The sequence below is a fragment of the Homo sapiens genome, chromosome 1, assembly GCF_000001405.40.
Source record: "Homo sapiens chromosome 1, GRCh38.p14 Primary Assembly".
NCBI lineage: Eukaryota > Metazoa > Chordata > Mammalia > Primates > Hominidae > Homo > Homo sapiens.
Window position 1 is genome coordinate 155,690,282 of NC_000001.11, and position 13,745 is coordinate 155,704,026.

Genomic DNA, 13,745 nt, shown 5'->3' on the forward strand with positions numbered 1-13,745 from the left:
TGGCTCACACCTGTAATCTCAGCACTTTGGGAGGCGGAGGAGGGCGCATTGCTTGAGCCTAGGAGTTCGAGACCAGCTTAGGCAACACGGTGAAACCCCATCTCTACAAAAAGACACAAAAATTAGACAGGTGTGGCACACGCTTGTAGTCTGAGCTACTTGGGAGGCTGAAGCAGGAGGATTGAGGAAGAGGTTGCAAAGTTAGCCGAGATCACGCCATCACACTGCAGCCTAGGTGACAGAGCGAGACCCTGTCTCAAAAAAAGAAAGAAGACATTAGCAGAAAAGCTGAGGAAATGCAAATAAAGTCTGCAATTTTTAAATAGTATTGTACCAGCTTTAATTTCTTAATTTTGAAAATTGTACCATGGTCATATGTATGTAACATTAAGGAAACTCTAATGAAAATTGTAAGAAAGCACTTTGTACTACCTTTGCAACTCTTCTGTAAATTTACACTTTTTTTTGTTTGTTTGCTTTGAGATAGGATCTATGTCGCCAAGGCTGGAAGGCAGTAGTGCAGTCCTGGCTCACTGCAACCTCAAGCTCCTTGGCTCAAGGGATCCTCCCACCTCAGCCATCTGAGCAACTAGGACTACAGGCACATGCCACCACATCCAGCTAATTTATTTTATTTTTTTTTTGAGACGGAGTCTCGCTCTGTCACCCAGGCTGGAGTGCAGTGGCGCGATCTCGGCTCACTGCAAGCTCCGCCTCCCGGGTTCGCGCCATTCTCCTACCTCAGCCTCCTGAGTAGCTGGGACTACAGGCACCCGCCACCACGTCCAGCTAATTTTTTGTATTTTTAGTAGAGACGGGGTTTCACCGTGTTAGCCAGGCTGGTCTCGATCTCCTGACCTCATGATCCACCTGCCTCAGCCTCCCAAAGTGCTGGGATTACAGGCGTGAGCCACCATGCCCAGCCTCCACTATCGAACTTTAGAACATTTTTTATCACCCCCAAAAGAATCTTATCAGTAAGTTGCTTTCCATTCCTCCCTCCCATTGCCTCTCGCAACCACTAAATCAGTTTATGTAATTAATAAGCAAATTATGGACATTTCATGTAATTGAAATCATACTATATGCAACTGTCTTCTTTTACTTTGTTTTGAAGGTTCATCCAGTTGTGTAATGCATCAGAACTTTGTTTCGTATTGCCAAATAATATTCCATTATATGGCTATACCACGTTATGTTTATTCATCAATTGATGGACATGTGAGGTATTTCCACTTTTTGGCTCTTATGCATAATACTGCTACGAACATTTGTGTACAACTTTTGCATACACTTGTTTTTATTTCTCTTTTATACCTGAGAGTGGAATTGCAGGTTCATATGGTAACTCCATGTTTTACCTTTTGAGGAACTGCCAAACTTTTCCAAAGTGGCCTCACCGCTTAAAAAATCCTAACAGCAACATATAAGAATCCTAGTTTTTCCAGATTCTATCCAACACATGTTATTATCAGTTCTTTTGAATTTCATCATTCTAGTGGGTGTGAAGTGTATCTCATTGTGGTTTTTATTTGCATTTTCTTAATTTTGGGGGACCAGTCTCAGCACCACCCGTAGGGTATCCGAAGTCCGGTGGCGACAAAGGAATGAGAAGAGACAGGTTAAGTGTTCATAAAGGTGGGAGCCAGGGGGCCAGTTGCAAAATGGAGGCTGCAAAAGGCCCAGAGTTCTGATCTCCACACTGTTTATTGAGTACAGTCACTTAGATCTAAGAAGCAGATGTTCAGGGCGAAACAGTCAAAGGGAAGCAGTACGTCATACACATAATCTGTAGCAGTGGCGGTTTAAGTGAATCTCCTTTGTGCTTAAACAACGTATCTTTAGTTAGCTGGTGGGAGTGGGCTTAACTAGGAGCCTGCATATCTAGCCACATTCCAGTGCTTCAGAGGAGCGTCTTTCTTCTTGAGCACAGTGTTTATAGATAAGAGAGCAGGTTGTGCTCAGAGCATGGGAACATAATGGCGATAAGAAGGCTTTCCTCCTCAGAGTCCTCTTGTGGCTTTCCACAACTTACTGTCCCATGTTTTTATGGCCAGTTTATGCAGGCACCCTGTAAGCCTTTTTCCCAACATGCCCCCCTTTTTTCTTTTTTAAAACTGCCATTGCTATTAAGACTTGTTCCTGGTGTCTGGTCTCTCTCCAGAGGCATCTTCCGCATCTGCAGACTAAAAGCAAACAGCATAAACAGGTACACATTAAAGCAAAATTTGCGATAGTTGATTCTCTAACGGTCTTAATCCACTTAAGAGGATTTATGTTTGAAAGTCCATCAGCAGCTCCAGTGAGAATGTCAGTCCCAGGCAGGAGAGTTAAATGAGCCTGAGATGCTTTAAAAACCTGTTCCTTTAATTTGGCTATATTCAGTGTAAAATTTCCATCCCTTTCTTCCAGATGATGTCTAACTTTTTCCCAGTGATGTTCAGTAGCATTGTATGAATGGGGAGTTATGCAGAAATCAGAAGTATTCCAATCACATTGCATTTGCAATCGATGCTCTAAGCTTATTATACGATCTCTCATCCAAATAACAGTCTGTCTAAGATCATTTATTTGATTTGCCAATTGTTGGTCTATCCGGGTCTGATAATTCCACAATTTTGAGGAATTCTTTTGCCAATTATTTACATATTCTGCAGTTTGAACAGAGGAGTGTAAAGCAATTCCAGCAGCCACAACAGTAGCTGTGACTGCAATAAGGCCCATAATGACTGCTATAAGGGTAAAAATAAATCTTTTTGTTCTGGTAAACACTCCCTTTAACATTTCTGTGAGGATATGAATGGAAGAAGAGGCTTTCCAAGGTCTATTGAGGGAAACCGGTATCTAAACTCCTCTAGCCCTCACCAGCAACACAGATGTTTTCACATCAAACGTGGAATCAATACAGGTGAAAAGGTGACAGTTTTGACAAGTAATAGTTTGAGAATTAGGTCGAATATCAATATTTCCGACCATCAACATAAAAGGAGGCTTGACACAGCTCTGAATGGGCGCCATTCGGTTGGAAGAAAACTGATACACAAATTGAAGTCTCTCACCTTTTCCCTCAAGGTAATATTTTTCTTCTCAAACCTGAATATGAGATTGGGCCATCATTACCTTCCATAATTTGGGATGTTCAGGGCCTATTATTGGATTAATCATTTTTGGATGTGGGCCGGCTATACCAAAATTGGTTGAAATTATGGGAAACTGGGCATGTTTTTCAGTGTAAATAGTGTCATCTCTTTGACAGTATAGTTCCTGTTTTAGTCCTGTCTTGTATCTATCATTCTGATTGGTACAATTAACTGCAAAGGTCCCCTTAGGGGACCAATCAGTGACAATTCCATAGGAATTATTTTGAAGTACCACAGCGTGATCAGAGATGCAATCCTGGCCGGGAGTGGTGGCTCACGCCTGTAATCCCAGCACTTTGGGAGGCCGAGGCCGGCAGATCACCTGAGGTCGGGAGTTCGAGACCAGTCTGGCCAACATGGAGAAACCCCCTCTCTACTAAAAATACAAAATTAGCAGGGTGTGGTGGCACATGCCTGTAATCGCAGCTACTTGGGAGGCTGAGGCAGGAGAATCCCTTGAACTTGGGGGGCGGAGGTTGCAGTGAGCTGAGATTGCGCCATTGCACTCCAGCCTGTGCAACAAGAGCAAAACTCCCTCTCAAAAAAAAAGAAAGAAAAAAAAAGAGATACAATCCTTTCAAATCAATATTTCTAAATCATTTGACTGTTGTTGAGGTTGTTGACACCTCTCTTTTCTGGGCTTAAACTGTTACAGTTGAACTGAACTCTGTGGATGATCCGGGCTCCATCCAGAAAATAAATGATAGGATACTGGTCTTTGATTATGACCTGAAATTTTAACTAGCCAATGTTGTCCGTAGCCTTTTAGGCAACCGACAGCTGGCCCTATGCAAAGAGGAGGGGAACTGATAACCCATGGACATATTTATTAACATTCCTTCCTCCTCTGGGTGAGAGGGCCCTTGAGTATCTGTAGGCTCAGGCATCCAAACACTATTATTAACATAAGCCTCAACCGGGGGTTCCAACCATGTGACAGGCCTAATTAAAGGTGGAAATGGGACGTATGCCCAATAGGTATAATTTTGGTCTGCTGTAGCCACAGGGAGACTTACCACCATGGTAATTACCGCAATCATAGCTACCATCAGGTTACTCGAGGTTAGTGGTTTTTGTTGTGTTTTCAGGTTTTCTTCTGCAAGGTGGGTCAGCCTCTTGATCTGTCCCCAAGTTGGTGGGCTCGCTTGATGGGTTTTGTTGGTCTTCATCTGGTTGGCTGAAATGTTCATTCGAGCCATCAGGCGTGCTGGGAGTGGAGATCTTGGTTCCAAAATCCTTTTCTCTTCTTTGGAAATTTGCTCATGGTAGAATTTAAGATGTCTTGTAGGTACCCAAACTGGAAGCTGGTTTTCTTCTGGGGAAATACAAACAAACCCTCTTCCCCATGTTATATCTCTCTTTTTCCCAGGTCTTTGTTTTAAAGTCCTTCCACCACACAGGTTTTCCTTCATGAACATTTACCTTCTGTCCTGTTAAATGCTCTTCAGCTGCTATAGTAACCTGATTGCGGAAGATGTTCAAAAAATTTAAGGTAACAAGAGCCAATTGTAACTGCATATGAGGGGTGGAATATTCCCTATCTCCCCCTATTTTCTTTTTATGTAATTGCATTTTTAAGGTTCAGTTGGCTCGCTCAACAATCGCTTGCCTTTGAGAATTATAGGGGATAACCGTACTGTGTTCAATGCTCTGTTGTTTTAAAAATGTTTGGAAAGATCTACTACAGTAGCCTGGTCTGTTGTCTGTTTTTAATTTTTGTGGAATTCCCATGACAGTAAAACAGGAAAGCAAGTGTCTTTTTATATGTGTTGTAGTCTGGCTGGTTTGGCAAGTAGACCATATAAATGAGAATATGTATCTATGGTCACATGGACATAAGAAAGTTTGCCAAATGCAGGAATGTGGGTGACGTCCATTTGCCAGATCATGTTAGGTGCCAACCCTCGAGGGTTAACACCAGTTCCTTGATACGGTAGTTGCAGTACCTGGCACTGAGGACGATGTTGTACAATGTCCTTGGCCTGTTTCCACATAATTTGATAGTTGTTTGTAAGTCCTGTTACATTAAGGTGTGTTAATGAGTGGAAAGTCTGGGCATCAGTAAGTATGGGGGAAACCAACAAGTCAGCTTGCTCATTAGCCTCAGTCAAGGGTCCTGGAAGATTGGTATGTGCTCGGATATGAGTTATATAGAAAGGAAAATCCCGAGCACACACAGCTGTTTGTAAAGAGTTGAACAATTGATAAAGCTGTTTATCAATAATATATTTAATTAAGGCAGTTTCAATATGCTGAGTAGCTTATACAACATAAGCTGAATCTGAAACAGTATTAACTGGCTGATTAAAATCTTCTAATACTGCAATCATTGCCTGTAATTTAGCTCTTTGGACTGAGGAAGAGTTAGTGTGGATAACTTTACCACAAGGTCCCACATATGCCGCTTTCCCAGTACTGGAGCCATCAGTAAAAACAATCATGGCTCCTTCCAAAGGGGCATCACGAGTAATTTTCGGAAGAACCTATGTAGTTAATTTTAAGAACTGGAAAATTTTATTTTTAGGATGATGATTATCAATACATTCAATAAATTCTGCTAAATTAACTTGCCATGTAACTGAGTTAATAAATGCCTGCTTAATGTGACTTTTATTTATTGGAACTATAATCTTATTGGGCTCAGTGCCATAAAGTTTAACAATTTGCATATGAGCCTGTCCAATTAAAATTGTGATCTGATCTACATAGACTGTAAGTGTTTTCATGGTATTATATGGCAAAAAAGACCATTCAACCAAATCATTATTTTGAACAATAACCCTCATTGAGGAGTGTGAAGTAGGGAACACAATGAATTGAAAAGGCAAGACTGAGTCAATCCTACTAACCTGGGCTTGCTGAATTTTTTTTTTTCAATTACTCTTAACTCATTCATGGCCTTGGGTGTTAATTCTCTTTTATGGTGTAAGTTGCAATCTCCCCTCAATATTTAGAAAATATTAGACATAGCATAAGTAGAAATTCCTAAGGTGGGCTGAATCCAATTAATGTCTCCTAACAATTTTTGAAAATCATTTAAGGTTTTTAAAGAATCTTTTCTGATTTGAACCTTTTGAGGCTTAATGGCTCTATCTTGTACTTGTATCCCCAAATATTGAAAAGGAAGAGTTGTTTGAATTTTGTCAGGTGTTATAAGCAATCCAGCATTTGTAATTGCCTTTTGCAAAGATGAATAACATTGAATAAGTTGGTCTCTATTTTTTGTTGCACATAGTATGTCATCCATATAATGAATGATGTAACAATCTGGAAATTGATCTCTAACTAGCTGGATAGCTTTGCCTACAAAAGTTTGACAAACTGTGGAACTGTTTAACATACCTTGGGGTAAAACCTTCCAATGATATCTGGCTGCAGGTTCTTTGTTATTAATGGCAGGGATAGTAAAGGCAAATTTTTCAAAATCTGTCTCTGCCAAAGGAATTGTAAAGAAGCAGTCTTTTAAATCTATAATAACAAGCAGCCAGTCTTTAGGGAGCATGGTGGGGGATGGGAGCCCTGGTTGTAAAGCTCCCATTGGTTGCATTACAGCGTTGACCTCTTGCAAGTCGGTCAGCATGCACCATCTACCATACTTTTTTTAAAATTACATATACTGGGGAATTCCAAGGAGAGAAAGTGGGTGAAATATATCCTTTTTCTAGTAGTTTTTTAACTATTTCATGGAACGCCCCCAAGTTTTTCTGAGGGAGCGGCCACTGTTCGACCCAGACAGGATGCTGCAGGGTGAGCCTGAATTGCTTCTTCACCATAGTGAACTGCAGGTTGGGCAGTAATGGGTGCGGCAAGCTGAGTTTCAGGCTCCCTCCCCCTGCACTCACTCAGCTGAGGAGGAGGTGGCCATTCCGGACATTTCTCTGAAGAAGCTGCGGGCTGAACAATTTTCTGTGTAGGTTTAGGGAGACCGGGGGGATTGGTAGAAATCACCTCCGGTATCGGGGGAACCAGCCCCCAATATTTCAACATAGGTTCTATTTTCCGTAAGTGTGCCAGTCTGAGAAATAAAGAGAAAGAGTGCAAAAGAGAAATTCTACAGCTGGGTCTCCGGGGGTGACATCACATTTCAGCAGGTTCCATGATGCCCCTGAGCCGCAAAACCAGCAAGTTTTTATTATGGATTTCAAAAGGGGAGGGGTGTACGAATAGGGAGTGGGTCACAGAGGTCACATGCTTCAGAGGCAGTAAAATATCACAAAGGCAGAGAGGCAGAGCGAGATCACAAGGCCAGGGCGAAACTAGAATTACTGATGAAGGTCCATGTCCCGCTGGGCACATTGGACGTTGATATTGATAAACATCTTAACAGGAAACAGGGTTCGAGAGCAGACAACCGATCTGACTAGAATTCGCCAGGCTGGAATTTCCTAATCCTAGCAAGCCTGAGGGTGCTGCAGGAGACCAGGGCATATTTCATCCCTTATCTCCAACTGCATAAGACAGACACTCCCAGAGCAGCGATTTTACAGATGTCTCCCTGGGAATGCATTCGTTTTCCCAGGGTTATTCCTTGCTGAGAAAAGAATTCAGCGATATTTCTCCTATTCGCTTTCTGAAAGAAGAGAAATATGACTCTGTTCTGCCTGGCCCCACAGGCAGTCAGACTTTATGGTTATCTCCCTTGTTCCCCGAAAATCGTTGTTATCCTGTTCTTTTCAAGGTGCCCAGATTTCACATTATTCAAACACAAATGCTTTACAAACAATTTGTACAGGTAATGCAATCATCACAGGGTCCTCAGGCGATATACATCCCCAGCTTACGAAGATGACGGGATTAAGAGATTAAAGTAAAGACAGGCATAGGAAATTATAAGAGTATTGATTGGGGAGGTGATAAATGTCCATGAAATCTTCACAATTTATGTTCAGAGATTACAGTAAAGACAGGTGTAAGAAATTATAAAAGTATTAATTTAGGGAACTAACAAATGTCCATGAAATCTTCACAATTTATGTTCTTCTGCCATGGCTTCAGCCGGTCCCTCTGTTTGGGGTCCCTGACTTCCTGCAACACTCTGGACTCTCCCTTTTTATTAGTACTTGGTAGGGGTGGTTCAGAGTCCTGATCATTAAACTCCTCTCTCTCCTCTGACTCAGCCTCATCATCTATCTGAAAAGCCTCCAGTGCTGTACACACCAATGACCAAACTGACCAAACAGGCAAAGGAATTTCCTTTCCCTTTCTTTGTGCTCTTTTAAGGTCCTTTCCAATTCTTTCCCAATCTTTCAATTCCAAAGTTCTCTGTTCCGGGAACCAAGGGCAAAATTGTTCCACAGCATAAAACAAATCCATAAGATTTTTTGTATCAACTTTTACACCACTACGCTTCAAGAGCTGCCATAGCAAGCTCAAATACATGGCGTACTTACTTTCAGTTTGTCCCATTTGTGTCCCTAGCTTTCTCCAAGTGCCCCGCTCACCTGCGGAGCTTAAAACTTTTTCGTCTTTGGGAGTCCTTTGTCTGTCGGTCCTCCATTTCACACGCTTGAGCATGCCTTCACTGGATTCTTTCGGGCCTCATGTTGGGCACCAGAATGTAGGGGACCAGCCTCAACACCATCCGTAGGGTACCTGAAGTCCGGTGGCGACAAAGGAATGAGAAGAGACAGGTTAAGAGTTCATAAAGGTGGGAGCCAGGGGGCCAGTTGCAAAATGGAGGCTGCAAAAGGCCCAGAGTTCTGGTCTCTACACTATTTATTGAGTATAATCACTTAGATCTAAGAAGCAGATGTTCAGGGCAAAACTGTGAAAGGGAGGCAGTACGTCATACACGTAATGTGTAGCAGAGGCGGTTTAAGTGAATCTCCTTTGTGCTCAAGCAGCATATCTTTAGTTAGCTGGTGGGAGTGGGCTTAACTAGGAGCCTGCATATCTAGCCACATTCCAATGCTTCAGAGGAGCGTCTTTCTTCTTGAGCACAGTGTTTATAGATAAGAGAGCAGGTTGTGCTCAGAGCATGGGAACATAATGGTGATCAGAAGACTTTCCTCCTCAGAGTCCTCTTGTGGCTTTCCACAACTTATTGTCCCATATTTTTATGGCCAGTTTATGCAGGCACCCCATGAGCCTTTTTCCCAACGCTTAATGACTAGTAATGTTAAACATCTTTTCAGGTGCTTATGGGCCATTTGTATAACTACTCTGGAGAAATGCCTACTCAAATATTTTTCCTTTTCATTTTTTTAATTTGAGGCAGGGTCTTACTCTGTTACCTGGGCTGGAGTGCAGTGGTGTGATCATAGCTCACTGCAGCCTCAAGCTCCCAGGCCCAGGTGATCCTCCCACTTTAGCCTCCCAAGTAGCTAGGACCACAGGCTCACACCACCACACCTGGCTAATTTTTTAAATTTTTGGTAGAGGACAAGGTCTCATTATGTTGCCCAGGCTGGTCTCAAACTCCTGGAATTAAGCAGTCCTCCCGTCTCAGCCTCCCGAAGTGTGAGAATTACAGGTGTGAGCCACTGCACCTGACCCTTTTGCCTATTTTTAAATTGAGTTGCCTTTCTTTTTTTTGAGATGGAGTCTCGCTCTGTCGCCAGGCTGGAGTGCAGTGGCATGATCTTGGCTCACTGCAGCCTCCACCTCCTGGGTTCAAGTGATTCTCCTGCCTCAGCCTCCCCTCTAGCTGGGACTATAGGCGTGCACCACCACGCCCAGTTAATTTTGGTATTTTTGGTAGAGACAGGGTTTCACCATGTTGGCCAGGATGGTCTCAATCTCTTGACTTCATGATCTGCCCGCCTTGGCCTCCCAAAGTGCTGGGATTACAGGCATGAGCCACTGCACCCAGCCTTGAGTTGACTTTATTGTTAAGTTGTAAGAGTTCTTTATATATTATGGATATAAGTTAAGTTCTATGTGATTTGCAAATATTTTCTCCCATTCTGTGGGCTGTCTTTCACTTACTTGATGGTATCCCTTGAAGTACAAGTGTCTGATTTGGATAAAATTCAATTCTCCATTTTTAGTTTTTTTGCTTGTGCTTTTGATGTTATAGTTAAGAAACCATTGCATAACACATGATAATGAAGATTTACTTTCTCTGTAGAAAATTAGAAAACTTGAGGGAGGTGGGGGGGGCGGTCAGCCCCCCGCCCGGCCAGCCGCCCCATCCGGGAGGGAGGTGGGGGGTCAGCCCCCCGCCCGGCCAGCCGCCCCGTCCGGGAGGTGAGGGGCGCCTCGGCCCGGCCGCCCCTACTGGGAAGTGAGGAGCCCCTCAGCCCGGCCAGCCACCCCGTCCGGGAGGGAGATGGGGGGGTCAGCCCCCCAACCCGGCCAGCCGCCCCGTCCGGGAGGGAGGTGGGGGGGTCAGCCCTCCGCCCAGCCAGCCGCGCCGTCTGGGAGGTGAGGGGTGCCTCTGCCCGGCCGCCCCTACTGGGAAGTGAGGAGCCCCTCTGCCCGGCCAGCCGCCCTGTCCGGGAGGGAGGTGGGGGGGTCAGCCCTCCGCCCGGCCAGCCGCCCCGTCCCGTCCGGGAGGTGAGGGGCGCCTCTGCCCGGCCGCCCCTACTGGGAAGTGAGGAGCCCCTCTGCCCGGCCAGCCGCCCCGTCCGGGAGGGAGGTGGGGGGGTCAGCCCCCCGCCCGGCCAGCCGCCCCCTCCGGGAGGGAGGTGGGGGGGGGTCAGCCCCCCTGCCTGGCCAGCCGCCCCGTCCGGGAGGTGAGGGGCGCCTCTGCCCGGCCGCCCCTACTGGGAAGTGAGTAGCCCCTCTGCCCGGCCACCACCCCGTCTGGGAGGTGTGCCCAACAGCTCATTGAGAACGGGCCAGGATGACAATGGCGGCTTTGTGGAATAGAAAGGCGGGAAAGGTGGGGAAAAGATTGAGAAATCGGATGGTTGCCGTGTCTGTGTAGAAAGAAGTAGACATGGGAGACTTTTCATTTTGTTCTGCACTAAGAAAAATTCCTCTGCCTTGGGATCCTGTTGATCTGTGACCTTACCCTCAACCCTGTGCTCTCTGAAACATGTGCTGTGTCCACTCAGGGTTAAATGGATTAAGGGCGGTGCAAGATGTGCTTTGTTAAACAGATGCTTGAAGGCAGCATGCTCGTTAAGAGTCATCACCAATCCCTAATCTCAAGTAATCAGGGACACAAACACTGCGGAAGGCCGCAGGGTCCTCTGCCTAGGAAAACCAGAGACCTTTGTTCACTTGTTTATCTGCTGACCTTCCCTCCACTATTGTCCCATGACCCTGCCAAATCCCCCTCTGTGAGAAACACCCAAGAATTATCAATAAAAAAATAAATTAAAAAAAAAAAAAAAAGAAAATGATCAAAACAAATGACAGGGCTCAGGGCAAGGGGCAAAACTGTTCCCCTGCCAGGCTGTTTGATAGAAAAAGGAATGGTTTTCTTAGTTCTAAAGCTTCAACCACACTGGATCCTTGTGTTTTCACAACCCTTAAGGTTAGAGCCAACTTTCAAAAAGAATAATTAAATCGGGAAATAAGTGGGGTCAGCAGGTTTCGTAGTGCTTTTAAACAGGAAGTCTCAGAACTCATGGAGGGAAGTAGCTGACAGCAAAACTGCTTTCCTACTCATCAACCCAAAGAACTGCTTAATTCCAGAAGAAGATAGAGGAGCACATCTCACCAAAGACAAGTTGACCCTAACTCTTAAATCATCTACAGCCAAAAAACTGATTCTGTACCTGGTTGATCATGCCTGTAAAAAAAAAAAAATTAAAAATTAAAAAAATTGATTCTGCCTATAAAAAAAAAAAAAAAAAAAGAAAATTAGAAAACTTGGGCCAGGCCCCGTGGCTCACACCTGTAATCCCAGCACTTTGGGAGGCCGAGGCAGGTGGATCATGAGGTCAGGAGATCGAGATCATCCTGGCTAACACAGGGAAACCCCGTCTCTACTAAAAAAAATACAAAAAAATTAGCTGGGCATGGTGGCGGGTGCCTGTAGTCCCAGCTACTCGGGAGGCTGAGGCAGGAGAGTGGCGTGAACCCGGGAGGCAGAGGTTGCCGTGAGCCAATGAGCTGAGATCACACCAGTGCACTCCAGCTTGGGGGACAGAGCGAGACTCTGGCTCAAAGAAAATTAGAAAACTTGCCCCTGCAAGTTTTATTCTTGGAGCTCTTATGAGTACGTCTATGATCTATTTTGAGTATGATATGAGGTAGGGGTCCATTTTCATTCTTTTGTGGGTGAATTTCAGGTTGTCCCAACAGCATTTGTTGAAGACACTATTCTTTCCTCATTGAATTGTCTTGGCATCCATGTTGAAAATCAGTTGACCAGGCCGGGCACGATGGCTCACGCCTGTAATCCCAGCATTTTGGGAGGCTGAGGCTGGTGGATCATGAGGTCAGGAGGTGAAGACCAGCCTGGCCAAGATGGCGAAACTCCGTCTTTACTAAAAATACAAAAAATTAGCCAGGCGTGGTGGTGGGCACCTGTAATCCCAGCTACTCAGGAGGCTGAGGCAGAGAATTGCTTGAACCTGGGAGGCAGAGGTTGCAGTGAGCTGAGATGGTGCCACTGCATTCCAGCCTGGGTGACAGAGTGAGACTCCGTTTCAAGAAAAAAAGAAAAAGAAAAAGAAAAATCAGTTGACCGTGATGTAAATGTATGCCAATACCACACTATCTTGATTACTGTAGTTTTGTAGTAAGTGTTGGAATCAGGACATATGAGGCCTCCAAATTTGTTCCTTTTCAAGAATACTTGGGCTATTCTAGGTCTGTTGCATTTCCAAATGAATTTTGAGATTAGCCTGTATATTAGTCCATTTTCACGCTGCTGATAAAGACACACCCAAGACTGCGTAATTTATTAAGAAAAAGAGGTTTAATGGACTCACAATTCCACGTGGCTACGGAGGTCTTACAATCATGGCAGAAGGCAACAAGGAGCAAGTCATATCTTACATGGTGGCAGGCAAGAGAGCATGAGAGCCAAGTGAAAGGGGAAACACCTTATTAAATTATTAGATCTTGTGAGATGTATTCACTGTCACATGAACGGTATGGGGAAACCGCCCCCATGATTCAATTATCTACCATGGGGTCCCTCCTACAACACATGGGAATTATGGGAGCTGAAATTCAAGATGAGATTTGGGTGAGGACACAGCCAAACCAAATCAGCTTGACAAGTTTTTTCTTAAGACAGGGTCTTGCTCTGTCGCCCAGACTGGAGTGCAGTGGCATGAACTTGGCTCACGGCAACCTCTGCCTCCCGGGCTCAAGCAATTCTCCTGCCTCAGCCTCCTGAGTATCTGGGACTACAGGCGCCCGCCACCACACCCAGCTAATTTTTTGTATTTTTAGTAGAGATGGGGTTTCACCGTGTTAGCCAGGATGGTCTCGATCTTCTGACCTCGTGATCCACCCACGTTGGCATCCCAGAGTGCTGGGATTACAGGTGTGAGCCACTGCGCCTGACCTAGACTTTTTTAACTTGAAAACTAGTGAGGGCCAGGCATAGTGGCTCGCGCCTGCAATCTCAGCACTTTGCGAGGCTAGGGCAGGAAGATTACTTGAGGCCAGGAGTTAGAGATCAGCCCAGGCAACATAGCCAGACCCCATCTCTGTAAAAATAAAAAATTAGCCACCAGGTGGTTGCACATGCCTGTA

General features: G+C 44.8%; 1 protein-coding gene and 1 long non-coding RNA gene across 19 annotated transcripts in view; one reads left to right on the forward strand and one right to left on the reverse strand.

Annotated features, from left to right (window-relative positions):
• The window catches only part of DAP3 (death associated protein 3), a 51,063-nt gene that overhangs the window by 2,334 nt on the left and 34,984 nt on the right, over positions 1–13,745 (forward strand). The window lies entirely within an intron of this gene.
• LOC124904431 (uncharacterized) lies at positions 1,689–10,136 on the reverse strand. Its single transcript, XR_007066649.1, has 2 exons — positions 10,068–10,136; positions 1,689–8,732 (listed from the first exon to the last, which is right to left on the reverse strand). It is a non-coding gene; the product is annotated as an uncharacterized LOC124904431 (long non-coding RNA).